The following is a 26,250-nucleotide window of genomic DNA, read 5'->3' on the forward strand; positions in this document are numbered from 1 at the left end:
ATTAAGGGTGTATCCATAAGAAGGAATTGGAGTGGTGCCTAACACCTTCTTTAAGATCAACAAACGTGCTTCTAAGAATCTTAAAGGCATGTTCTCACAGAAGCATGATCCTACAGTAATGGTAAGCCAAGAGAAAGTAAGACATGTCTTGAAAAACATTGTGGCATGGCTTTTGGAGTTAATATGAACTCAAATCAGATGCATTAACCACCCCCACCCCCCCCCCCCCCGCAAATTATTCAGGGAATTACATTAGCAAAAGTGCCTTCAGTTGGACTAAAAGAGCTTGACATTATTGAAAGGCACTGGATTCTCAACTTACTACAGGCAGGCACTAGGATGAAGAAAGCTTCCAAAGGGATTATTTCCTAATACTCTTTCAGAAGTGGCCAATGGAAAAGGGTGGCAATTCTGAAGAGCACAGTCAAAAGCCATAGAGAACAATAAACTGAGGAACTGTATCAGAAAAACATATCCAGGTGTGAGACGGACCACAAAGTTCTGGACTCCAAGCCTGATGCCATGATCATTAGAATCTTTTGAGATCCTTGGATACTGTGATCTTGTTTTGCATGTTGAAGACACAAGAAATAATTGAGAACAGAACGGAGAACTGATAGATTGATTGAACTAATAGCCCAATTTTTATGATTTTTGTATCACACCTGATTACATCCTCTGTGCGTTCCTTTCCACACTGACTCTGTGTACAGACAAATTGTCTGTACAATTTGCCAAGGCCAACAGGACAAAATCAAACTTGATACAAGCAAAAATCTTAAAAGCATTTGTATATTTCTGTTTTTGCTCTAGAACCCTTGTTTCTGCTCTGAAAACTAGCCCAGGTTATCCTGTTGGAGGAATGTGAGAGATATTTCGAGGAGAGCTGAATCTTCCCAGAAAAGGCTATCCAAGACTATCTAGGCCCAGCCAATTCATGAGTTGACTGCATAGGTATGAGGAAACCCAGCCTAGTTGAACAAAGACAAGCACAATTTGACAGAACTGCCTAGCCGATCCATATGCTTAAAAGAAAATAATAAATAGTTGTTGATTTAGGCTGATACATATTAGAGTGGTTGTTATGCATTAATACCTAATTTAGACATATCCTCTTACAAGTCAGAAAATAGAAAACTCTTTCAAGTAGCAAAAGAGTAAATACAATCTCACTCCTGGTTGCCAATACAGATGGATTCTTATTATTCTTTGCCTTTCAGTAACACTGACTTCCTTGCTTTGTGTCCACTTACCATGAGCTTCAGTGTCAGGCCCTTTATACTTGGTTGTTCTCTTAGACCAATCCTCTTTCCCCCTGTTCTTTCTATATCTTTCTCTTCTCCCTCCATTCATGTAAGTATCAGGTCTAATGTCATCTTTTCAGGGAGCGCTGACCTGACCACTTGTTATTTAAATTCTCTTACTCTGCTTTATTTAATTCCCCTACTTGATACCAAGAAAGATTAAGTCCTATAAAGGTCGTATATAGATACACACACACATATACATATATATTATATACATATGTATTATAAATACAAACCAGGTAGATAGATAGATAGCAGGGGCAAAGCCAGTAAATATATGGAATGGCATATATATGATGTGTGTGTGTATGTGTGTGTGTGTATATATATATATGAAGATGCTTATTAATATAGAAGGAGTTGGTTAGTTTATTAAGGAAAATGTTAAAGTCAAAAATCTTGGGGCTATACCAACCATCTCTTTTTGTAGAAGAAGAAACTGAGGCCTAAAAAGATGAGGTAAACACCCATAATTAGTACAGAATTTTTATTGTTTCCTGTGTACTATGTTTTTGTTTTGTTTTGCTATAGACATTAGTGAATAATTAGGTTTATGAAAATATTCTCTTTCAAAAACATTAAGTGACTCCCATTCATGTGCAAATTTAACACTGAGATGGTATAGAACACTCTTTATACTCTGCCTTTCCTACCTTCTAAAATGTTCTGCGGATGCTCCCCATGCCACGTTTATAACCCTTTGTATTTCTCACTCCGTCTTTTATTGCAGCAAAGTAGATAGCGGTCCACTTAAATTCGTGTTACTCCTTCCATAGAATACAGTTGTCACAGGATGTGGCTTCCCAGGAAAGGTCTGCGTATCCCGGTCCATTTGCATCAAGGTATGACAATAAGACCAGTTCCCACCAATGGAATATTAGCACAAATGATTGGTACCCTTTCTTGGCTAAGGCTGTTATGAAGCAGTTGTGCCTTCTCCAAGTTCTTTCCTCTTCTACTTGCCAAATGTAGAATGCTCTAAGTCCTAGATGTTAGAGTCACAAGTTAAAAGAACCTTCATCTTAGAATCGTCAAGTTAAGAACAATTAATTCTACATCAGAAACAACCACCATGCTCTATTATGTGTGTGACAAATTAATTTCTATTTTATTAAGAGACTGAAAATGTAGGATGCATTGGCAGTAGTAGCTGGCATTACATAACTAACATATTGTTCAATCTATTCATTCTGTGTAGCATGCTCTTCCCACTAGAGCTATCCATTGCTCAAAGATGAGCTTAAATGCCACCTTCTTCACATCTCCCCCTGAATCCTTTAGTCACACTTAATGTCTTCCTCCATCACATTTTTCTAGCTGTTTGTTGTATGTTATAATTAATCCTGTTCATGGTATTCACTACTAAATTATGAGCTTCTATGGGCAGAAACTCTATCTTAATCACTTTGTACCCCCCAGAATGTCAAACACAGTATCTCACAAACAGTAGGTGCTCAATAAATGTCTGTTACATTAAACCAAATGAAACCGACTTCATATATCTGAATGATTAATATGTTTATTTCATTCAAGATCTTTGGGCTGGTATGAAAAAAAAGAAGTCTATTACTTCAGTCTGACTCTTTAACTTGGCAGATTAGAGTGGAATAAAAATGTGTCCTGGATGAAATGAAAATGCATTGTTTTACATAAGATATGGCAATTTTGAAAAATACATTGATTTAATGTACTTAGGCCAGTGAAAAATCTGTTGGTTTAAGCTAACTGCCGTTAGTTTCAATTAAAATGTATCGATTTGGGTAAATGTTGGTTAGAATAAATGTTGCTTGACTGTGGAAACAGACCATTTGCTTAAGCTTGCCTTGGAGCACAATCAGAGAGAGAGGTGAGGTGGGCAAGGGTGGGGGGAGCGAGAGAGTGAGTGTGTTACACAGGCAGTCAGGCAGAATTCTCACTTCTCTGCACTATACTCCACTTGAAGAGGGCAAGACCAGGTGGCCAATTAGTAGGTCACCATCCTTTGGCGTTATATTAACTAACATCTATAAGTGAGAAAAGTAGCATTGAAAAAGAATTTTGCTTAAATTAAAATGCTTCTGCGTGAGGCCCACATTAGGTCAATACCATTAATTCATCATCTGCCTTCAAATAGGTCAATTCCATTCATTTATTTAAAAAGTGAAATAATTCAGTTATCTGAGTTCATAATGGCCAAAAAAAAAAAAAAAAACTGGGGAAGTACATCTTTCACTTTTTAACAAATGGTTTTAATGCTTTATGTTGAAAAAATGGCCACATGGCCATTTTTTGGTGATCGCAAACAGTGGATTATTGGCAATTTCATAAGGTTCAACCAAATAGATACTGCTTAAGGGTAATTAGAGAAAGAACTAGATTGTACTTTGTTTTCATTGATATTTTCAAACATAATGATGTGTTTCCCCTTCTGGTCTTTGGAGGCAGGAAAAACATACACACACACACCCTGCCCAATATATGCACATACATGTACACAAATATGCAAAATTATCTTTCTCTCTCTCTATCTATCTCTATCATCTAACATCTTTGCATTTCCAATCCAACAAGGTAAGGATCTGAAACATAGGAGGTATTCATTAAATGTTTGATAAAGGAAGGAAGATACAGGCAGGAAAACGTTAAATGATAGTAGATAAGTTTAGAACAAAAGGAACAGAAAATAATGGGAAATTTCAACTAATTTATTAATTGTAACAATTTGAGAAATGAATATTCTTTCTTCCCACGTGTTTTTAATGATGGGAAGGAACCAGATGTCTTGGCAATGACTACTGTGTAAAACAAACATAAATTAAGCCAGTGCATAACAAGGAAGTCTCATTGTTAAAGACACAGAGAAGGAGATGCCAAGGAAAATTTGGGAAAGCAATGAGGAGGATATAAGACATCTGAGTAACATCGTGGTAGGAAGTGGGAGGGTGGTGATTGTAAAAATCTATGTATGGAGTATCTGGAAAGGCAAAGATCATTCAGAAGAAAGACTCAGAAAATACCCCAACATGTTAAATAAAATACCTGCAAATAAAAGGGGAGAATATGTCAAGAGATAAATAGAAAATATGACTTAGGTTGTATAACTATAAGTTCTGATCACATATTCTTTATTAAAAGCAATTATATAGTACAGAGGAAATTAGAATTGATTTTTCAGTCTGGATTCTGCTGATAATTTCTGGGTGACTTAGATAAAACCCTTAAACTCTTTGACATTTTTGAAATGTAAAATAAAGATAATGAAAATAAATATTTTGTTGCCTGATTATTGTAAAGATCAAAAAGGAGAAAGTTCAGTGTGTACAATAAATAAGAAAAATACGTCACTGAGGACCTACAATGAACAGGTGATATGCAGGCAATACAAAGTACTTTATGTCATTTAATCCCAATGGTCATAATATGACACAGACTTTATCTTCAGTTTTCAAGAAGTAAGGCTTCCCTGTCAGAAGTTAAGCAATTTATCCAAATTTAAAGTAGGCACTTAGCAAATATTTTATGAATCACTTGATGAAGTACTCCCTAGCACTCTCCTTTGGCATTCCTCATATTTAATTATTAACATAAAGTAGAACTTGCGAATATGAAATTGTGTATGGAAGGGGTCTATGCTAAATAAAAAGTCTGAATTAAGAAATATTTGATGAATATAAATTCACCCAACGTTCTTTCCAACTTTTGAGTTTGGCTTATTTGATAAACTTCATAGTGTACAGAGTTATAAGGATTATATCAAATTGACTTTTTGTTGTTATTTTAATTATTATCTAAGAATGCTTCCCATGCATTTATTTATTCATTCAATCAGCAAATATTTAAGGGGCACTGTGCTAGGTAGTGAGGATTCAGTGATGAACAAAACTATATAGCCTCTGCTTTCAGAGGGCTTCTAGAATAGTGAAAATAATGGATTCTACTCAAATTGTTACAAAAAACTTAAGAACTCACAACTATGATAACATGATCCTATTGACAGAGCCTATAAAATGAGGGTTTGCTTTGGTAAGAGAGAGAAGGAAAAACTTGAACTGTGTTATGAGAGGTAATAAAAGAAGAGATGTGTGTCCAGGGCAGAAGGAACAACATGAAAAATAATCTCTAGAAGGAGAGAGGAAGCTGAAATGGTGAGAATAAAGAATACCCTGCTACAGGGTTAGAATGCACGTGTCTTCCTCAAAACCAATCATGAGTGGCAGAGGTGGCAGGTAAATGAAGATCAAAATATGAGCTTCATTAGTCATCTTGATCACTCTTTTGGGTGATCAGCTAAAATCTGGGACAAATAAGTCTTCTAACGTGCTACCTCCTCCAGCCTCCTCCAGTCTAAACCTCAGAATAATCCAATGAAAGTCAAATGTGCAGGTAAAGCACACCTACTTAGGATCAATGTGAAGAGGAGAGGAAACAAAAGAGATGGAAGAACAGAGATAAAATCATTCATGCTATCCATTTTATTTTATTTTATTTTATTTTTTTGAGACAGAGTCTCGCTCTGTCGCCCAGGCTGGAGTGCAGTGGCGTGATCTTGGCTCACTGTCAGCTCCACCTCCTGGGTTCATGCCATTCTCCTGCCTCAGCCTCCAAACTAGCTGGGACTACAGGCACCCACCACCATGCCTGGCTAATTTTTTTTTTTTTTTTGATATTTTTAGTAGAGAGGGGGTTTCATCATGTTAGCCAGGGTGGTCTCGATCTCCTGACCTCGTGATTCCCCGCCTTGGCCTCCCAAAGTGCTGGGATTACAGGCATGAGCCACGGAGCCCAGCTGATGCTATCTCTTTATTTGATAAACTCTACAGAGGTAGAAATGAGAACCAATGGCGCCCACCCATTCACTTGCAGAATGAGTAGGGGTAGCACAAAAGGCTAGGAATGTTATTTGAAGTGCAGGATCTTCCACAGGGAAACAGGTCTAGTATGAGAAGAGAAATCTTCCTTCCCAAAAGTTAGGAGAAAATTGGTTCTAGGTAAAGGATAAAGAGTTGGACAGGACACAATGTTGGTCTTATAGATGACTTCGAAGATGTCTATCATGATCATAGGGACAATAAGAAGTTAGTAAAGGATTTAAGAGGTATAGATTGGAGTAATCTTTTGAAAAGCTATTTCTAGCTGTTGTGAGTTAAAAAGATTGGGAAAGGAAAATGGAAAATTATTGTGAAAGTGTAGGCAAAAGAATATCAGTAGTTTGGGCTAGCATCTGGAGGATGGTAGTGGTGGTCAGGAGACATAGGTGTGAGAGCTGTTTATTATGTGAAATGAACGGACTTTGTTAAAGAGTTAGATATGGGGAATTATGGGAATATTGACAATGACATATGTATTGAGGAATGATGGATGCTGGTTTAATTTAGTGAATTCAAAGAAACTGAAGGAAAACCAGGTTTGGGTAGGGAAGATTACATGTAAGTATTTGAGCCTATTGAGTACTAGGTGCCTTTGAAGTTGGCCAAACATTTGCCTCCATATTAATATTTCAAAATTAATTTGTACAGTTGATTTATCCCAGCAATCTTATTTATACTACCTAATTACATGAAAACTTTTTTCCAGATCTACCTGTCAAGTAGTCATTACAAATTTCACAATACTGTAGTGGAATATAAATCAATGTGGCTTCAATGTGCTTATAACTTTCTAAACCATCTAAATCTATTCAGATATTCTTTTAAGCTTTTGAAAGGTGATTTTATTTTTTGCCTTTCTGTGTTGTGTTTCTGTGATATAATTGTCAGACCTTCTGAACAGCTTTTAGGGAAACCCTCTTGGAAATAGCAAAGTAGAATCTGATGGCAATCTTTCTTGTGTCTAGTGGTATTTTACACTATTATGCGTGTGAGAACTCATCATTAACATCATAAAGATTTCACAAATGTGGGAAATTAAGTCCAGACAACTTTTTAAAGAAAAGAGGGTTGGAATTATTTGTATAGCCTTGCTGAATTTAGAAGGAGCTGCCATTTCATCAAGCTTACCTTGGCTTCCTGTAAGACCACAAGAAAAGCATCTCACTAAGAAAAATGTACCCTGTATTTGAATAAGGCTTAAAACATTTTCTTAAACTTTTTAATCTAGGTTTTCCCAAAATTTATCCAATATTCGCCACCACAGAAGTTCTTCTTTACTTCAAATCTAAGATCTACTTGCTGGTAGTGAAACATACTTCTTTTTTCTTTTTCTGAATGAGAGATTTTACAGAGATAATTTTATAAGTTTAAATGTATCAGCTGTTTAAGGCACACACACAGGACTAGAGAATATTGTATTTTATGTGGAATCTAAAGAGAATCTTGCACTCATTGTTAATAGCTTAAAATATTTTCATGATTTTTTTCTTTGAATATTCAAGTGCAGAAAACTTAAAAAAACACAAAATAAAATTTTAAGTTTCAGGAGCAAAGAAATATCCTAATTTCTAAAGTGGTTTATGGAACTCATACACAGATAACTTTCAACTATATCTACAAATGGAGGAAAGTCTGTGTGGAGATACAAAATATACAACCAGTAATTTCAAATGTCTTCACTAAAATTTTATGAGAGCAATATCTGAACTGATTTTTACAACTGCTCTTTTGTTCAGCCTATGCCCTTCTGGTTAAGGATCTTCTAACAATCACATTGACATGGTTAAAAGAAGGAATATGAAGGAAGACCAAGGAAGAATATAGAGCATTTGCAATTCACCAATTGAATTATATGCAAAAAAATCAATCTTAAGGTCTACAGCATTATGAAAATGTTTCCCTATTACATAGAGTTTGATGTAAAAATGAATCTTATTGGATCCAGTAATTCCTGTGAATGCCCTATAACTTGAAAACCACTCAGCTCTGTCGTAAAAATAATTTCTCATAGGGCTCATATAACACTTCCTCTGAAACTCTTTCACAGCTGAACAAATTATGGTATCTTCATTCATCTATTGAGATAAACACATTTTTAAAACAGTTTTTTTTTTTGTTGTTTTGAAAAAACAATAACAACATACAAAAATGGAAAATGTGAGTACAAGATTACTCAAGAGCCAGTGAATCTGATTGTTATTTCAGGGAGTTTCAGGGGATATTTTAGCTATTTTGGCTATTTCACATCTGTAACTGTATGGAGACTGTATGGCTGCATGGTCTGGAGAGTTTGGTGTATCTTAAAGACACACTTTCCATTTGTAATGAAAGCCATTGCTGTGAAATTTTTAATGAAACAGTAGTGTTTTTGCTTTATTCTGTGGATACTGATTAATATGTATCATATACCACCTTTGGGTCCTATAAAGATTTAAAACCCATGAAATCTTAGATTTCAAGCTTTCACAACACAGAATCATAATCTCTTAGAAATGGAGAAGACCATTCCTCCTCCAATGTAGCAATTCTTTCTGAAACATCTAGGACAAAACATGGCTGAAGCCTCTGTTTGATATTCTACTGAGCGAGAACGTGATACTTCACCAAGCCGATTGTTCCTCTGCAGTACAGCTGTTTCAAAACTCTGTTTCATATGCATTAAAATTTATCCTATTTGTTGGCTCTACCCTACTGAGGCCTCACAGAGTATGTCCTTATTTCCACATTCCAAATTCTCAAATATCAGAAGGTAGCTATTGCGGTTCCTCTAATCTCTTTTCCTAGAAAAATGAACCCATTCCCCTTTATGATTTTACATAAAACATGATTGTCAGATTCTTGGTCATTCAGATTTTCCTGATCTGGACATGTTTTATGTCAATGTCCCTTTCAACCTAGTGGCCAGAATAACACTCTATAAGGGATTCTAATTACATGTAGCACTTTGGGGCTGTCATCTCCTTTATTTAAAATACTAAGATATTGCCAATATAGAGAAAAATACTCAGGTGGTTTTAAAATTAACTCTATTCAGAACAAGGTATTTTTTATCTTGCTCATTTTTATAGTCCTTTAAAGTAAGATTTACATGCCTTTTAATGCACAAATATTAACTGTACAATTTTGACAAGGTAATACACCTATTTAACTAGCACTCCTTTCACAATATGAAACATTTCCACATCTCCGGAATGTATCCTCATGTCTCTTTCAAAACAATTCCTTTTAGCTGTACCACAGAAACAACCCCTGTTTCTATGTACTTTTCTTTCAAGTTCTTGAACTTTAGGTAAATTCAGGTTGCTCTGTCTGGTTATTTTGGTCAGGAGTTAGTCTGAGAGAGTCTCCAAACTGTCAGTAGTTTGTTCCTTTTTATTATTAAGCAGCATTTTATTATATGATGACATCACAATTGGCCTATCTTTTCTTTAGTTGATACAATTTCAGTTGTTTCTAGTTTTCCACGATTGTAAATAAAGCTGCTGTGAATTTTTGTCTACAAATATTTGTGGAGACACATGTTTTAATTGTCTTGGGTAAAACCTGGAATTGACAGTGCTGGGTAGTGCAGAAAGTATATGTTTGGCCTATAAGGAATGACCCCAACTTGTCTCCAAAGTATCTAAAGCATTTTGCTTTCCCACCAGTTTCATATGAGATTTCCAATCACTCCACATCTGCATGTAGTATTGTAAATCTTTTTATTTCTATCATTCTAGTTGGTGGCTAGTAGTAATTACACTGTGGTATAGAGCACCAACATTGCCCATTATGTGGAGAAACCTTAGCCATACCTTTATCCCATTAAAAGATATAAATGGTGCCAAATATATTCCAGTCATTTTATTCTGCACCAAGGGTCCACTGCCTAGCAATAAATAGTCCTTCCAGAAAAGAATTACGAATGTAGTCATAGGCAATGTATGCTGTAGCTTTAAGTGTGATGTCATTAGAAGTTCTCAGTTCAGAACAAATCCTAAAACTTTGGATTTGTGGGGTTTTTTTAATAGCTCTTATTAATAAAGCAGACCTAAGAGTATCAAGTATAGGATGACTATACACACTGTCTCACCCGGGACGTCCAGATTTGTGCTTGTTTTTCCAGTTTAATTTTTGATAGTGCTCTTTTCCCTCTTAAGAGTGCTCCAGTTTAGACAATGAATTATATGGTCACCCTGGTTAAGCAGGGACTCTGATATGACTTATTTCCTAATGGTGGCTATAAAAGGGCCACAGTTGCAAGTACCAAGAGCTATTTGAGGGCAGAAGAAACACGAGGTTGGTGGAGGGATATTATCCAGAGATGCTACTGAGAGGAATTAGTCCTGGAAACTGTCTCCAATGAATGCCACATGCTAGCAACAGCTGAGCAAATTGCTAACTCATTTATTATTTATTAATTGCCATTAAGAATCATCACTGTTAGAACTGCAACTAGAAACAATAAATAGCATCAGATAGGAGATTCCTTAATAGCTAAACTCAGAATTTCCAGTATCAAAGAGCATGCTGCATAACAAATTGTCAAACATTTAGTGGCTTAAATCAATACAGAATTATTATCTCACAGATTATGTAGGTCAGGAGACTGGGCATGGTTTAGCTAGATTCTCTGCTTCAGGGTCTCACTAGGCCATCATCGAAGTGTAAACAGGTTCCCTTCTCATTTGGAGGCTCCAGTGAAGAAGGACCTTCTTCCAGGTTTATATATGTTAGTGGCAAAGCTTATTTCCTTGCAGCTGTAGGACTTGAGCTTCTATTTTTTGCTGGCTATTGGTTGGAAGCGACTCTCAGCTCCAAGTGGGTGTCCAAGTTCTCTAACATTCAATTTTCTTCATAGGCAGTTACACCATGGCAGCTGGATTTTTTGAGGACAGCTGGAGGGTAAGATCTAGTGGGCTAGCAAGACAGAGTCCTATAAAATGTAACATAATTATGTGAAGGACATCTCAACAACTTTGTTACCGTCTACTAGTTAGAAATAAGTCAAGGGTCTCACCCTCACACAAGGGGCAGCCATTACCCAAAGACATGAACTCCAGGAGGTGAGGATGATGGCAGCCGTTTTAGACTTAGTCCTCTTCCACATTCCACAATATATTCTTAACATGGACGTTAGAAATTGAAATTTATTTGATCTCCATTTTTCTTAGACAAGGGTAACACTTTTCCAAAAAGAAAACTAACTTGAGTGGAAGCTTGAGGTATATATTATAAATTTAATTGTAACCAGCAGCTTAGTTTCCCAAGGAATTTTCTTTCTTTTCTTTTCTTTTCTTTTTCTTTTTCTTTTCTTTTCTTTTTCTTTTCCTTTCTTTTCTTTCTTTTTCTTTCTTTCTTTCTCTTTCTGTCTGTCTAGCTGTCTGTCAATCTGTCTATCTAGCTGTCTGTCTACCTATCTATCTTTTTTTATACTTAATCTCATGCTTATTCTTCAAGAATGATTGTTAATCTTTCTTCTACTAGGCCATAGTCAAATTTCATAAAAATTTTCTTAACTATCCTAGTTCATAGGAATCTTTTTCCTCTTAAAGTCAGATATATGTGGGTTTGAGTTGACTCTTATCATTTACTGGATTTTATCACCTACAGCAGATATTTGAATCTCTCTTAATTTCAGCTTCTTTATTGGTAAAGTGAGAATAACACTATTTGTTCCACCTGCTTCTTGATAAATTTAAACGTAATTTTCCAGAAAAATAGCTGGGCCCACAGAGCATCCTACTCAAATGCTATTTTCTTTTCTTCCTTCTTTTTCTTGTCTTTCCCTTCTCTCTATATAATTATTTTGACAATAAATATTATCCTGCATAGTTCATTTTGTTATGTGTATATGTACATGTATCAGAGATATAGGTGAGTGGTGATTACACGTTACATTCTGTTGTGTAAGGCTTGGTTTTCCAGCTGTAGTGATGCGTTTGTAGTGATTCATCCACATTTTCCTTCCAAATCTCCAGAATAAGTTGCAACATATTCATGAGATGACTAGACAGGTTACACTTATCCAATCTTTGATCACTGTATATAGAATTCTTTTTGTGGTGCCTATCCTTATTATTCTAAACCCTGTTCTCTTCCAATCTTTGGGCCACTCTCTGCCCCATGCTTCTTATACCCTTTTGAAGCTCTCTAGGGAGAAAAATGTTCAGGGTCCTGCTTCGTAGTTTTAGATAGTAGATGGCTTTTTATTATACATGCCAGAGAAGTTTTAATTATGTGAACTCCTCATTATACAATTCCAATGGGAAAAAGTATATATTTTAGGAACATCCGCTTTGTTTTTAAAGTCCACTTACGTAAAATTAATATAAAGCGATATAACATTTTTCACCCGAAAGAGTAACTTATAAATTTTCCCTAAAAGTATTATTGTCTTACTTTTTAAAAAATCATTACATAAATAAAGTCACGGGCTCCATTTGAAGGTTCTATAACTGAAACTAGAATACCTAAGCTATGGGGAACTAAACTCTGAATTCTGATTTTACCACTAAAGTAGCTAGCTGATGATGAGTGGATCACTTTTATCATTGTGAGCCACAGATTCCTAGTTTCTGAACTGTGGGATTTAGATAAGGTGATTCATAAATTCCTGTCAGCTCCACAATTCTGTAACTTTGAAAAATTAATTGCATTTTCACTTATGTATTCTTGTTTAAAGTTGCATTCATTCATATTTTATTGTAACTTTAATTTTTTTCTCTTCCTTCATTCCTAAATTTGTATATAAGTTTGGGAATAGGATATGCTTGTTGAATTCTCATCAAAATGTTTTTCCATATAAATTTGTGCTGCTCAGGTGACATAGGAAGACAGAGATTTCTAACTAAGAGTAGATAATTAGGGGCTCCTTTTGAACAGACTTATATTAAAGAGAATAGAGCTTCTCTTTGTTATCAGTGCCAAGGGATGCAAACCAGGATACCGAAATTAGCAGGAATTTCAGGAATGAGCCTGAGAAAGAAGAGTTAAGTTTTTTTTGCTTAGCAATACAAAGAGGTGGGCGCACAGTGGAGGACCAGGAGTGTGTTTCAACATTCAAGTAATAGAAGTTTGCATTTGAACAGCAAAATTGCCTGGCAAAATCTGAGCACATTGAGCAGGTGACTTCTAAATCCTTAAGCTATGGACATTCTTTCTGAGCATCTAGAATATTAAGAGATGGGAAAGATGGCCAGCATATGCCGATCACTGTTCTCGACACTGAACACCAGACACATCTGACAAAGCTGCTGTCCCATCATTCAAGTGTGGCTAACAGGGCTCATTTCTGACCTGCAGTCTGTTCCATGCTGACTGCAAATATAGTTTGCGCCTTCTCGGTGCCAGCAGGGCCACCCGTGGAGCCTGTCGCTCAGCAATGGGCAGAGGCACAGTTACTTTGCCTTCAATGATGCATCCTGTCTTTAATCAAATTTCTCTTTCCCATTCTGGGAAACTTCTGGGCTTCTTGTTCATTCTTAAATGTCAGAACAGGATCTCTGCCTTCTTTCTTTTTCCTATTATAAGTACCAGTAGACCTTTAGCCCACACTGGTACATAAGGGACCACCTTCTCTAGTGCCCTCATTTCACAGAGCAAAGGAAGAAAGGCTCATGCAGGGAAGTGACTTGCTCAAGGCCAAATAGGAAGAGGCATAACTGGAACGATGACTCATGTATCTTGATTTCCAGTTCCAAGCACTTTCTCTGACTCCACGCTGCGTCAAAGCATTCTGATCTTTTTAATGCACATCCCGCTATGGTTGGCCAAGTTTGACCTTCACAGCTCATTATGATCATTGATCCTTATATGATGAACCTGATAAATGAGCAACAGGTAAGGTAAATAATTATGGTTAAACATACTGTCCTTTAACTCTAATTTTGTTCAAAGTACTAATCTCATGTAGAAAGAGTGCTTTATTGTTTTAAAAGTCACTTTCATATATTCAATAACTTTGATCTATTTTTTTCTTCATTAAGACAACCCCTGTGAACTTAACAAAATGATTGTGCCCAAAGGCTGACAGTGACTGTGGCAGTAGTTTCAACTTTTCATACAGAAATACCTATTTATTTATGTGTAGGTATGAAATGGTTAAACCAAGCATTCTGACAGAGTCATGCCTTAGATACACTACACTACTAGACTTTCTCAGATGAGAATAACTGAAATATTCAACATACATCTAGTAAAAATGGTTCATTTCTCTTTAGTAATTGAAAGGGCATTTGGGGTATGGCTAAGCCCTGGGATGGTTATATTGAATATCTCCCATAAGGCTACAATATAGAAGATGCAGAACTTGTAAGCTCAAGATACCGTTATCTTTGAAAGATTGAAATAGATTATCTCTAATGTCTCTTTTAGCTTCACTTCACTTGGCTCTGATTTACACAGAAGCTGTGAGTGGGCAGCATTTGTGAATTTCCAATTTAAAGCCTCTCATTTCAGGCCCCCAGGCAGTGCCAGACATACCATAACAGGTATTCAACAAACATGGGTGTTCATGGTTTTAGTGAATTCCCTGGGTAGCTCTTGTCTTAAGATGTTGCATTTGATGAAATCGAGGTCCTCTCATTTGGAGTCCCTCCAGTTCAGGCAATTCCTGAAGCCCTTTGTCACAGGAATGATTTTCTTCATTGCTCCAGGAGGCAAGCTTCTGAATAAGTGCTTCCCAGAGGGAGGAGGAAGTTATTTGGAAGAGGCTGGACTCTGTTAGATAAGTGAAAACTTCTTATAAATACCTGACTTGGAAGTGAGAGAGGAAGGTTTTCAAATCAAAGTGCTAAATTAAGAAGCTTAATTTTGGCACTTCAGCTGACTGAGTTGTTGATGGGAGGGTTTATGCTAACAATTCCCCTGCATCCACAGGGGATCAGGAGCAGAAGCTGATAAGATAGCTTCAGGGGAACGAAAGGACGGTCTTACTCCAGTAGCTCTGTCTTCAGAAAGCATGAGAGGAGTGCTGAGTCTGGGTCTGTTTCCGTCCCATGCTGGCACACAGATAGCTACAGCGTACTGACTTCCTTTCCACTGCACTCTCCTTGGAGGGACAGAGCCAAGGAGCATGTTTCTTCTGGAGTTCCCCAATTTATTATTAAAAATATAGTAATAAAAAGGAAACTCTTTGTCAGAGGGAAAGAGAAAGACATAGGACACTGAATTGACATTTAGACTATGACTCTAATCTCAAGTTCTAACAATGCTTGCTGGGAAAATTATTTACTCTGTCTGGAGCAGCTTTTATTTTTTTTTCCTTGTCCATAATGTTCTGCACTCTTAGAAGCGATATTTTCTATAGCTCTAATATGAAGTATATTCAAAGAATATTCCAATATATTTGTTTCAAAGTCCTAAAAAAACAGTTTTGGCATTGGACCTAGTAATTTAATTTGGGGGCATTTATATACAAATAATGAGACATTTGCAGAAGTGTTTTTCTATTAGGATCTTTATTTCACATTTGTAGTGGTAAAATTTGGGAGCAAACTAACTTCACAAAAAGGAGATTGAATACATAAATTATAGTTTGTCCATATGAAAGCACAAGCTATGCTGATTTGAATTCATATTGCTGAAAAATATTTAATGGAATAGAAAATATTCAAGGTGAATTCCAAATGATAAAATCAGATTGAAAACACTAAGGAGATATCTCAGTTTTGTTAACGATAAAAATGAGTATGTGTATATGTGTGTGTGTTGGAAGAGAAGAAAGACTAGAGGCTTCCGTTTTAAAATTTCAAATGTTTATATTGGTTTTGGTAGTTATTGGTAATTTTTACTTATTATAATATTCTATAATTTTCAATACTTTTAAAATGAAAATCGCATTTGTAGTGAGAAATATGATTAATCTTATTTAAATGCTACATGAATAAAAAACAATAGATGTACACATCCTCACCTTCTTTCACTCTCCTACCTTCAATAGCTCAGAATCTTCAAGAACCTTCAAGTCTTGTGACAAATGATATGCCATCTCAAGAAGTTTACAAAGTTGAAATTTCTTCTATTTATTTTTTGCATTAATCATAGATGTCAGGGCTACTGGAGACTCATTCTGGTTTCTCAACTCATGTTACAGAGGCTCAGGAAAGCCATTTCAACTGTCATATATCAGTAGTAGAAAAGTAATATGATAAGCTGCCCTTACTCTTATAGTATTCACCATTGTGCCTCAGAGAACGGAAAAAGTTTCAGAAATTATTTCATTAACACTTTTCACTTAAGCTACAAAATTTGGAATCAAAATTCACCATGTCTGATTCACAGTGAGGCATATAGCACAAAGTCATCTTGAAAGGACTCTAGCAAAGGAACAAAAGTATTAAATGATCTAAGACACTAAGATTCTTAAAAGCCTGATAATATGCCCACAAAAGTCAGGTAAGAAGGTTCAAATACCTTTCCAAATACAAATAGGACAAATAGAATAATTTGGTTTCATAAACCTGGGTGAATACAAAGTTGCCCATTCCTCTAGATTTCTGCCAAAGTGTAACTAGACATTATGGTATCTGAAAGGCATTTTATTAAATCTAAATAAATAGGTAGATTGTTATTATGGAATATGGACAATTATATGCATTTACCACCATCCCTCATCTCAAAGAGCAATTTCTGGTCATGTGGTATTGCAGCCTAATGACTGTGCTTTGACCATTTGCAGCTGGTGTTTGTCCCTGGGACATAAGTCACACAGGGCAAAACACGGCTGATATCCAGAAAGATCACGAGAACCACACCACTGCTTTGGCACCCTTTCAAGAGCTGCTCAGCAAGGAGCTCGTGACTGCTGACCATCTGGTTGGAAATCCTGGCAATGATTTAATATTAGTGTTAATATGAAGTCTGTCAGTAGAAAGCACTTTGTGGGATTGTAACCACCATGGTAGTCTATGTTAGGTAGACTCTTAGTGTTATCTTTCTTTTCACCCTCTCATTAGTTTCTGGAAAGATAATTCTGGACTATCATCTTTTATAGTCACATGCTTGCTTATTAGAAATTCAAACATAATATACTCAGTTTTTAATTATCTTAAATGCTGTGGTAATGGTTAAGTTGATTTCATAGAATTAACAAATTTTAATGCTTGTAAGGACTTTAGAACAATAGGAACTGTTAGTCTTGGTGCTGTCAGCATAGTTATAAATGTGAAAAGTTCTGTCCAAGGACATGAATACTTCAGAATACATTTATTGATTTTAGTTTGTAGAAATATATGCACCTTAATTAAATATTATCTAAACTAGCATATTACAACATAGATGAAAAAACTGAAGCTTAGGGAGATAAATATTCCTAAGGCCATAGCAGCAGAATGAGGCCCAGCACCTCAGTTTTTAACCCAATTCCATGTGTTTTCTTATAGGCTGACCACACCAGCTCACACTTGTTTAAAGTTTTTAATATGGCTCTTGGGGATTTGAAGAAAAAGAAAAAAAATAAAATATCAATTGTAAAATATTAAAGTTACAAGTAATTCCAAGTTGAGCTTATTATATTGTTGAGTTTTATAGGCTTATACTCTTGTTAACTTTCAGTTGTTGTCATAGAAGCCCTATAGTCATATTCATTATATCTGCCACAGGTCTAAGAACCTCTCTCTTCCAAAATTCCTGACCTGAGTTTGTCTTTTTCTCATCTCAATACCAGGATAGAGGTGGTGGTGCTGGAAACAGTGTATATATTCTTTTTTATTCTGATAGATTCTTTCACTACGGGTAGAGGTAGCCTGGTTAGGTTCTGACTAAGATACAGTGTAAAGAAAATGTCTTTGGATGTGGAGAATAAATATATCCTGCTGTCCATAGTTCTGAAATGTCGTTTTAAATTAACTTGGAAACAATGGGTGACTTTGCTCCAACTTCTCTCAAGAAATCTGTACAAGGTGAGGAAAAAATTTCATGTGCAAAAGGATAGAGGAAGCACAAAATGAGAGAAATGGAGAGAGGATGCCAAATAAGAATGGTCTGTCATTGATTAGGGAGAAAAAAAATCAAGAGACTATTCTTTTGGTGTAGTAGTCAAATTTTTGCAGTTTTAAGAAAAGATTGTTTGTCTGCCAGTAAATTGGTTGGCATGTGACTCTCCCATCTCCACCAACTCCATCTCCACCAATCTGTGCTTATCAATCTCCTTGATGATAGGCTTAGGTCTTAAACAGCCGGGCATATATCATCTCCAGAGAAAATCATAGAGAAAACATACATGCTTCTTTGGATGTTAAATTTAAATTAATCACCCATTTTTGGATTAGCTTTTCTAGATTTGAGATATGAAGCAGAAGAAGGCTATGACATGGGTCATTAAAATGCTTCATACTTGAGACGGTCACCATGAAAAGATGCTAGAGACACCAAACAGAATAATAAAAATTCTTATTGCACATTAGCAAGAAAATTATCCATGCAGCTAGTTTTCATTAATTTCTAGGCATTGAGGTGAACAATTCCTATGCATTATTTCACTTGATTCTCAGAACAACCTTATGAGATTGACATTATTTTTACTTAAAAAAATTAGGTGAGAAAACTAAGAATAATGGATACTGTTTGGCTGTGTCCCCACCCAAATCTCATCTTGATTTGTAGCTCCCATAATCCCCATATGTCATGGAAGGGACCAAGTGGGAGGTAATTGAACCATAGGGGTAGGTTTTTCTCATGCTGTTCTCATGATAGTGAATAAGTCTCACGAGATCTGATGGTTTTATAAATGGGAGTTCCCCCGCACAAGCTCCCTTGCCTGCTGCCATGTAAGACGTGACTTTGTTCCTCATTTGCCTTCCACCATGATTGTTAGGCCTCCCCAGCCATGTGGAACTATGAGTCAATTAAACCTCTTTTCTTGATAAATTACCCAGTCTTGGCTATGTCTTTATTAGCAGCATGAGAACAGACTAATACACTAACATATTTTTTAGAATGTTCAGAGATACGTGGCAGTGCTCAAATTAAAACTGTCCTGATTTCACAATTTACGTTTTTAACAATTTAGCAATATTGAGTAATATGTGTGTCAATGGGAATATTGTAGTAAGTCCTGGCTGGATTTTAGGAAGTAGCAAAACTGTCCAACCTCTCTAAGTCTGAGCAAGGTGATATGTGGAGATAAATTGAAGTGGAAAATAAAGAAGGGACAGACACTAATATCAAAATTGAGTTTTGAAGAATGAGAAGAAAGTCACCAAGCACTGCAAATAGGGTCAAGGGCATGCACAAAGTTCTCAAATGTCATAGTGTACTTGGGGTGTGATCACTTGTCAAAATGGCTTTATTACAGGATAAATGCTGAGAACATGGTGAATGATGAACAGAAAGGATTTTAAAAAGATACTTGAAAGATAGACAATAAAACCAAATTAGCTGGGCATAGTGGCATGAAGCTATAGTCTCAGCTACTCAGGAGGCTGAGGCAGGAAGACTGCTTGAGCCCAGGAGGTTGAGGCTGTAGTGGGCTGTGATTGCTCTATTGCCCTCCAGCCAGTACAACAAAGCAAGATCCTATCTCAAAAAAATAATAAATAAATAAGTAAATAAGTCAATAAATGAAAAGACAGGCTTTCTTTATTATGGAAAGTTCTTCTTATTAAAGCATTTAAATTATATCCCATGGACAGTGGTAAATAAACCACTGTGAGATTTTATATAGAATAAAGACATTTATTTTGTAAGATATTACTAACGATGGTATGAAGTTTACAAAATCATTCTTCCCATTAAAAATTGATGTAGGCCCACACTATTAAAGATTTCTGTGAGATATAGTATAGTGAAAAGAGCAGTAGAGAGAAGACCTAAGGTCTTTATGAGTTTTTCCTACACTATGACCACTATGAGTTTGAACAAATAATTAACCTCTGAAAACTAATGCTTCACTAGCTAGATTTCATGGGTCTAATTTTTTTTTTTTTTTTTTTTTCCGAGACAGAGTCTCGCTCTGTCACCCAGACTGGCGTGCAGTGACACAATCTCAGCTCACTGCAGTCTCTGCCTCCCGGGTTCCGGCGATTCTCCTGCCTCAGCCTCGTGGGTAGCTGGGATTACAAGGTGTGCACCACCATGCTCGGCTACTTTTTTGTATTTTTAGTAGAGACAGGGTTTCACTATGTTGGCCAGGCTGGTCTCAAACTCTTAACCTCAGGTGATCCACCTGCCTTTGCCTCCGAAATTGCTGGGATTACAGGCGTAAGCTGCTGCAACCATCCTGTTTTTTTTTTTTTTTTCTTTTTTTTTCCTTTTTTTTTCCTTTTTTTTTTTAAATAGAGATAGGGTCTTGCTGTTGCCCAGACTGAAGTACAATGGAGTGGTCATAGGTCACTGCTTTGAACTCTGGACTCAAATGATCCTCCCACCTTGGCTTCCCAAAGTGCTGCGATTGTAGACGTGAGCTACTGCACCCAGCTGACCGGTCTCAACCTTTAAGGTCCTTTTGAAATAGTGTTTATACATCCCTTTCCCTCTCTCTGCTGAAGAAGATGATAACATCCACAACCCAATTATTCTGGATCTTATTGTCTTATTTATGGATTGCTTTGTCATCAATGTTTTCATTATCTCTCTTCTATTACCAGTCAGGTAACCATTGCTCATTTGCACCTCTACTAGAAAGAAAAGATGTGATAGCCAAACCAATCAACATTTTATTTGCTGCAACTCTTGTAAAAAGTTCACTAAGGGGAAAGTATTTAAAAAGTAATGAATATAATAAGATCTAGAGATGTTCTGTCAATTCATTTCTCTATGCTATGTTTTTCCCCACTAACCTATGGAATTGGTATGCTCATTTTAAAATTTTGTAACCTTAAACCATATATTATACTGTTTTCCCTCCCCTGTTTTATTTTCCAGGAAATGGAACTTAAGTAAATTAAGTGTTAAGTGAATTCCAAAACATACTACATCAAGTTAGGGACAGGGCTTCAATTAGAATCTGAATCTCCTAATTCTTTGATCTGTCTGTGGTCCCAAATTCAATCTACTCTGTGTCCTCTAAATATTCTCATGGATTAGATACATAAATCTAAGAAGAAAGGACTGCAGCTTCAGTATGATCATTTAATTCGCCATCCAAACAAGAACATCTGTGGCAGTGAAAGGGAGCACAAATAATAATTACTCCAGGACAATAGGCATAAAACCATATTTATTTCAGGTTTGCATGGGTAATCTCTACTTCAGTCCAACCAAAGGTCATCTTAATATGTGGCCTTAACATTCAGGATTATCATTCAGGATTGTGTTCTTCAGGTTATGGCCCTGAACCAATCCCCTGTTAGGTATACTAGATATAGTTGTGCAAGTTCCTTCCGTATTCATTAGATTATGACCAGATTGTTTGAAAGGTTAGGGAGTTTGGGCTTTATCTTATGGATAATGAGAAAAAAATCTGTGTTTTTGTTTTTGCCTTAAAACAGGTAGGCTATACAAACAGACTTGTTTTTAAGAATGTAATTCTGCTGGTAGTATTAAGAGAAATCGAGTCTAAATAATGTCTGTGTTTACATGGCTCTTTGGAACCGAAGTATGATCATGAGGTATATACATAAATGTCTTAACCACAGGTAGGTGAAGTATTCCCTTTTGTTACAGCAATATTATCCAGCCTTTTTCCTCACACTTTTGCTCCACCCTTTCTAATATTCACGTTTTCATTGGAAGTATTTATTATTATCATTTTAGAATTCTGTGACATAGTGACTCCTACTTAGGCTAAATCATAAATTCTCTTTGTCCTTCAGCTTCCAAAAAAACTACACTTGAGATTTCCGTTTCTTTGGTTTCTCTCTATTAATAAAATGAAGCTAAATAACAGTTTTTTTTTTTCCTTCTCTTTTCTTTTAGTTGGTTTCTATTTTTTCCCGTAGTCTTTGATCAGGGAGAGCTGCCTACATTACCATCAAATTTGCTGAGTCATTTGTAGTTTTCTTTGAATGCTGAGGGCTTCAATGTCATTAGAAATGAGGTCCAAGTCTCATTGGTTTTTTAATATAATTGAGTCAAATTACATATTCTAATTGTACATACTAATTTTTAATGAAGCTGAAATGAGAAGGGGTCATAAGGGTGCATGTACTTACAAAATCTTTCATGAGGTAACAGAGAAATAGTGATTTATATCTTTCGCTGTTGCATTTTCAAGGAGAAAAGTTGCTTTAAAAGAAGCCAGAAAAGAGATCAAAACTGAAATAAAAACAGGAAAGTCTGAGTGGCAAGAAGCATGTTTTAACTTTGAAAGATGTCGGGGTTTGTTTCAGATAAACTATAAAATCACTGTTTGTTTAGAGGAGTCAAGTGTATGTGTGTTGTGAAGTCTGAATATGATTTGTGATTCACGTTAGCATATTGTTTTATACAGTGACCCTCCTCATGTCTTGTTTGACTGACTTGATATTTTAAAAGTGGCTACTAGATTTTTAGCTCTTACCATTAAGAGTATATTTCTCCATTTGAATCTTGACACGGACATGTGACTTGCTTTGACCAAAAGGACATTAACAAACATAATACAAGCCAATAGTTGAAATGTACTCTCCGATTCTTTTGCTTGTTTTGGAATGCAGCTACCTAGTAAAGAAACCTAAGATAGCCTTCTAGATTCTGAAGCAAGGTGGCCTAGTTATCCTTTTCTCTCCAGCCACCACCAGAAATGTGATTTACACCATCTGGGGCCAAGAAGCCCCAAGGAAACCCAAGAGATTAGTCGAGTTGCATGAGAAAATTCAGCCGAGATGATCAGAAGAACTGTCCATCTGAGTTCAGCCCAAATTGTCCCCACCCCCAACCATGTAGGATCCTAAGTAATTAGTTATTGATTCAAGCCACTAAGTTCGAAAGTGGATGATAAGTATCAAACACTAACATAACAGGTTAATGTGTCTCCAACTACGATAAACCAGATTCGAAGATGATCCTCAAAATTCTTACCCCCGTATGCCCTGTATAATCTGTGAATACAATAGGATACCACTCCTGGATTATGCAAAGGCAAAGGGATTTTGCAGATATAATTACAGCTGGGCCGGGCACAGTGGCTGACACCTGTAATCCCAGCATTTTTGGGAGGCCTAGGCAGGCAGATCACTGAGGTCAGAAGTTCGAGACCAGCCTGGCCAGCATGGTAAAACCCCATCTCTACCAAATAAAACAAAAATTAGCCGGATGTGGTGTTGTGTGTGTGTGTGTGTAGTCTCAGCTACTGGGGAGGCTGAGGTAGGAGAATTGCTTGAACCCGGAAGGCGGAGGTTGCAATGAGCCAAGATCAAGCCACTGCGCTCCAGCTTGGGTGACAGAGTGAGACCTTTTCTAAAAAAGAAAAAAAAAAAAAGATATAATCAAAGCCTCTAATCAGCTGAGTTAATCAAAGGGGAGATTATGCTGGATGAACCTGGCCTAGTGAGGTATGTCTTTAAAAGAGTTAAGAAGGACTTGAAACAGAAGTAAAAACTCTTCTTTTGGCCTTGAAAAAGCAACCTGCCATATCATAGAGATTATCACATGGCAGAGAATAGTGGGCAGCCTCTTAGATAGATAAGAATAGCCCTCAGGTAAAAGCCGGCAAGAAATTGGGGATCTCCATTCTTTAGCGGAACACTTTCAACAGCCAGTAGCTTAAAAGAGGACCTTGAGCCTCAGATGAGGTCACAGCCCTAGCTGGTCCCTAGATTTCAGCCTGGTGAGACACCGAGCAGAAGAACCAGCTAGCCTGTAACCTGGACTCTTGACTCATGGAAACGGTGAGGTAATACTGTGAGTTACTTTAAGCTAAATTCATGATAATTTGTTATTCAAAAAGAGAAAACGAATACACCAACCTAGACTTTCAAGTATCAGATATAGCAAGAACTGTAATTTACAGAGATTATCAGTTTACAGGTTTCTTCAACAGGTTTTAAATATTTACAGGTTTTAAATCTTGGTAGAAGGAAAAAGTAAGATGATTTTATTTGAAGAGAGCCATTTTTTTTTCCTCGAGGCTCATAGAAAATGTATCCTCTTTCATGCCATGTGATTTAAAACAAAGGAAGATTTTATCTATAAATGATGGTCTCTTCAAAAGCTGATATTCAACTGGAGTCAAAGGATTGGATTATTTGAACTCTTGAGGGAATTTCTTGCTTCCCTAATGTTGTGGCTCAGAATAATGTCATCTTTTCTTGGTCCTAAAAGTGCTGAAAGGCACTCAAAATTATAAGTCAAAGTGCGTGACTGATGGGATTGTTAATGTTGAAAAAGGAATGACTTGTTCTCTATTATAACACAAACAAAAGGAACATAACTTCCACCAAGGAAAACAAAGACTAGAGGAAAACTGTCTACTGATAAAATAAATGACATAATGAAGCCAGCAAAAGTCCCAGCTGGTTACAAACACAGATACAGACTAGCCAAATCTCCATGTGGCAGAATGGATGCAGAGCTTTCTCTGACAGAACAATGACAAGAGATTTCAGTGAATATGCATTGATTTAGCAGGGCCTCGGACAAATCCATCTTTACTGAGTGGCATATACAAGTTCCCTGTCATTAAGTACAAATCAAAGCATTTAAAATGCATGCAAGAAAAAATTTTCAATCCTGCAAGCCTTAGCACCATGCAGAGAACACCATAGGGCATCAAATTTTTAGAGTGTCATTCCTGTACCACTTTCCTGGATCTATCTCATTTTCTACTTCCTAATTTGCACTGATTCTTCCAAGTTCTGACCTTTTGATATGTTCACCGAGGCCCTTTCTAGCCATATAGCCTTTGCATACATTCTTGAATATGATTTACATCTCCCTCTGAATATGCTGTCTTTATCCCACGTTCCATAATGCTGAGATCTTCCACTACAGACAGCCTCTTTCTCTATGAGGAGTGCTTTCATCAAGTTTATCCCAACCCCTCAAACAGACTGAGACAAAGCTTAGGTATTATCACATCCCATGCAAACACTCTTCTCTTTCTCAAATAATTATTCTCATGCTTTGAAAATTGCCTGGTTGTCCTTATGGAGAATAAGGACTTTGAACAAGGACTTAAAGCTTGGAGAGGTTAGCTGGTCCTTCAAAGAAAGAGGGAAATATGTTGGGAACTAAAAGACTAGAATGATGGTGACATTTTGACATAACCAAATATATGCTTGGTTTTTTCTTTCACACATGAAAGTCCGAAGGTATGGCATCTCTGAAAAGCCATCAGATGCCCAGGATCCTTCTGTCCTATAAGTCATCCACAAAATCAGGTTGTCTACATCTGCACACACCAAGATGCACCAAGATGGTGCCTAAGTCCCTGTTTCAGCTATTGTGAAAGGCAGAGGCACAGGGCATGCTCAGATATTGCGCAAATCGTTTTCATTCATGTCTCAGTGTTCAAAACTTAATTACTTGGGTTTATGTAGCTGAAAGAGAATGCTATAGTTTGAGTATGTCCCTCCGAAGATTCAGGTGTTGAAACTTAATGGTCAATGTAATGGCATGAAAAGGTAGGGGCTTTAAGAGGTGATCAGGTCATGAAAGCTCCTTCTGCACAGCTATAATTAAGGTTCTTATGAGACTTCACACAATGTTGGGCTTTCATACCCTGCTTCCTTCTGACACATGAAGACACAGTATTCCTCTCCTCTGTGGGATACAGTTCTCACCTGACATTTGAACCTGGCAGTGCCTTGATCTTGGACTTCTAAGCCACCAGAACTAGGAGAAAATAAAACTTACATTTCATATAAACTATCCAGTCTTAGGTATTTTGTTATAGCAGCAAAATGGACTAGGACAGAGAGGCCCCTATTACTTTAGAAGAAATTTAGAAAATACACTGGGAGACATCTAGCAGTAAGAAGATGATCATGTGTTCAACCCTCAATGTTTTGATTGAGATGTTAATTGGAGAGGCCATTTATTCAACAAATTTTAATTAACAACCTACTCTATTTGGCATACTTTTAGAATCTTGGATTATATCAGTAAACAAAACACATGACCCTATCGTCTTAAACTAGTGATGCATTCGTGCATATAAGATAACTATAAAACAAGTAATGAGAAATGGGAGATTTGAATTCATGTGAGAATGTGGGAATAGACTTGAGTTCTTATCAAGTATAATTCACTGGACT

At 36.5% G+C, this 26,250-nt stretch overlaps 1 long non-coding RNA gene across 1 annotated transcript in view, besides 2 other annotated features; it reads left to right on the plus strand.

The window, feature by feature from the left end:
* Positions 1-26,250, plus strand: part of LOC105374524 (uncharacterized) — a 507,306-nt gene that overhangs the window by 223,570 nt on the left and 257,486 nt on the right. The gene's annotated exons all lie outside the window — the stretch shown is intronic.
* Positions 13,306-14,505: an enhancer, noted in NCBI's record as "CDK7 strongly-dependent group 2 enhancer chr4:23236030-23237229 (GRCh37/hg19 assembly coordinates)". NCBI's record gives its function as "activates an origin of replication core promoter dependent on BRD2, BRD4, P300/CBP, MED14 and CDK7 cofactors, with strong dependence on CDK7, by STARR-seq in HCT116 cells {active_cell/tissue: HCT116}" and the evidence as "EXISTENCE:reporter gene assay evidence [ECO:0000049][PMID:35650434]".
* Positions 13,752-13,952: a silencer, noted in NCBI's record as "peak5011 fragment used in MPRA reporter construct". NCBI's record gives its function as "represses an SCP1 promoter by STARR-seq MPRAs in K562 erythroleukemia cells {active_cell/tissue: K562}" and the evidence as "EXISTENCE:reporter gene assay evidence [ECO:0000049][PMID:32103011]".

The sequence above is a fragment of the Homo sapiens genome, chromosome 4, assembly GCF_000001405.40.
Source record: "Homo sapiens chromosome 4, GRCh38.p14 Primary Assembly".
NCBI lineage: Eukaryota > Metazoa > Chordata > Mammalia > Primates > Hominidae > Homo > Homo sapiens.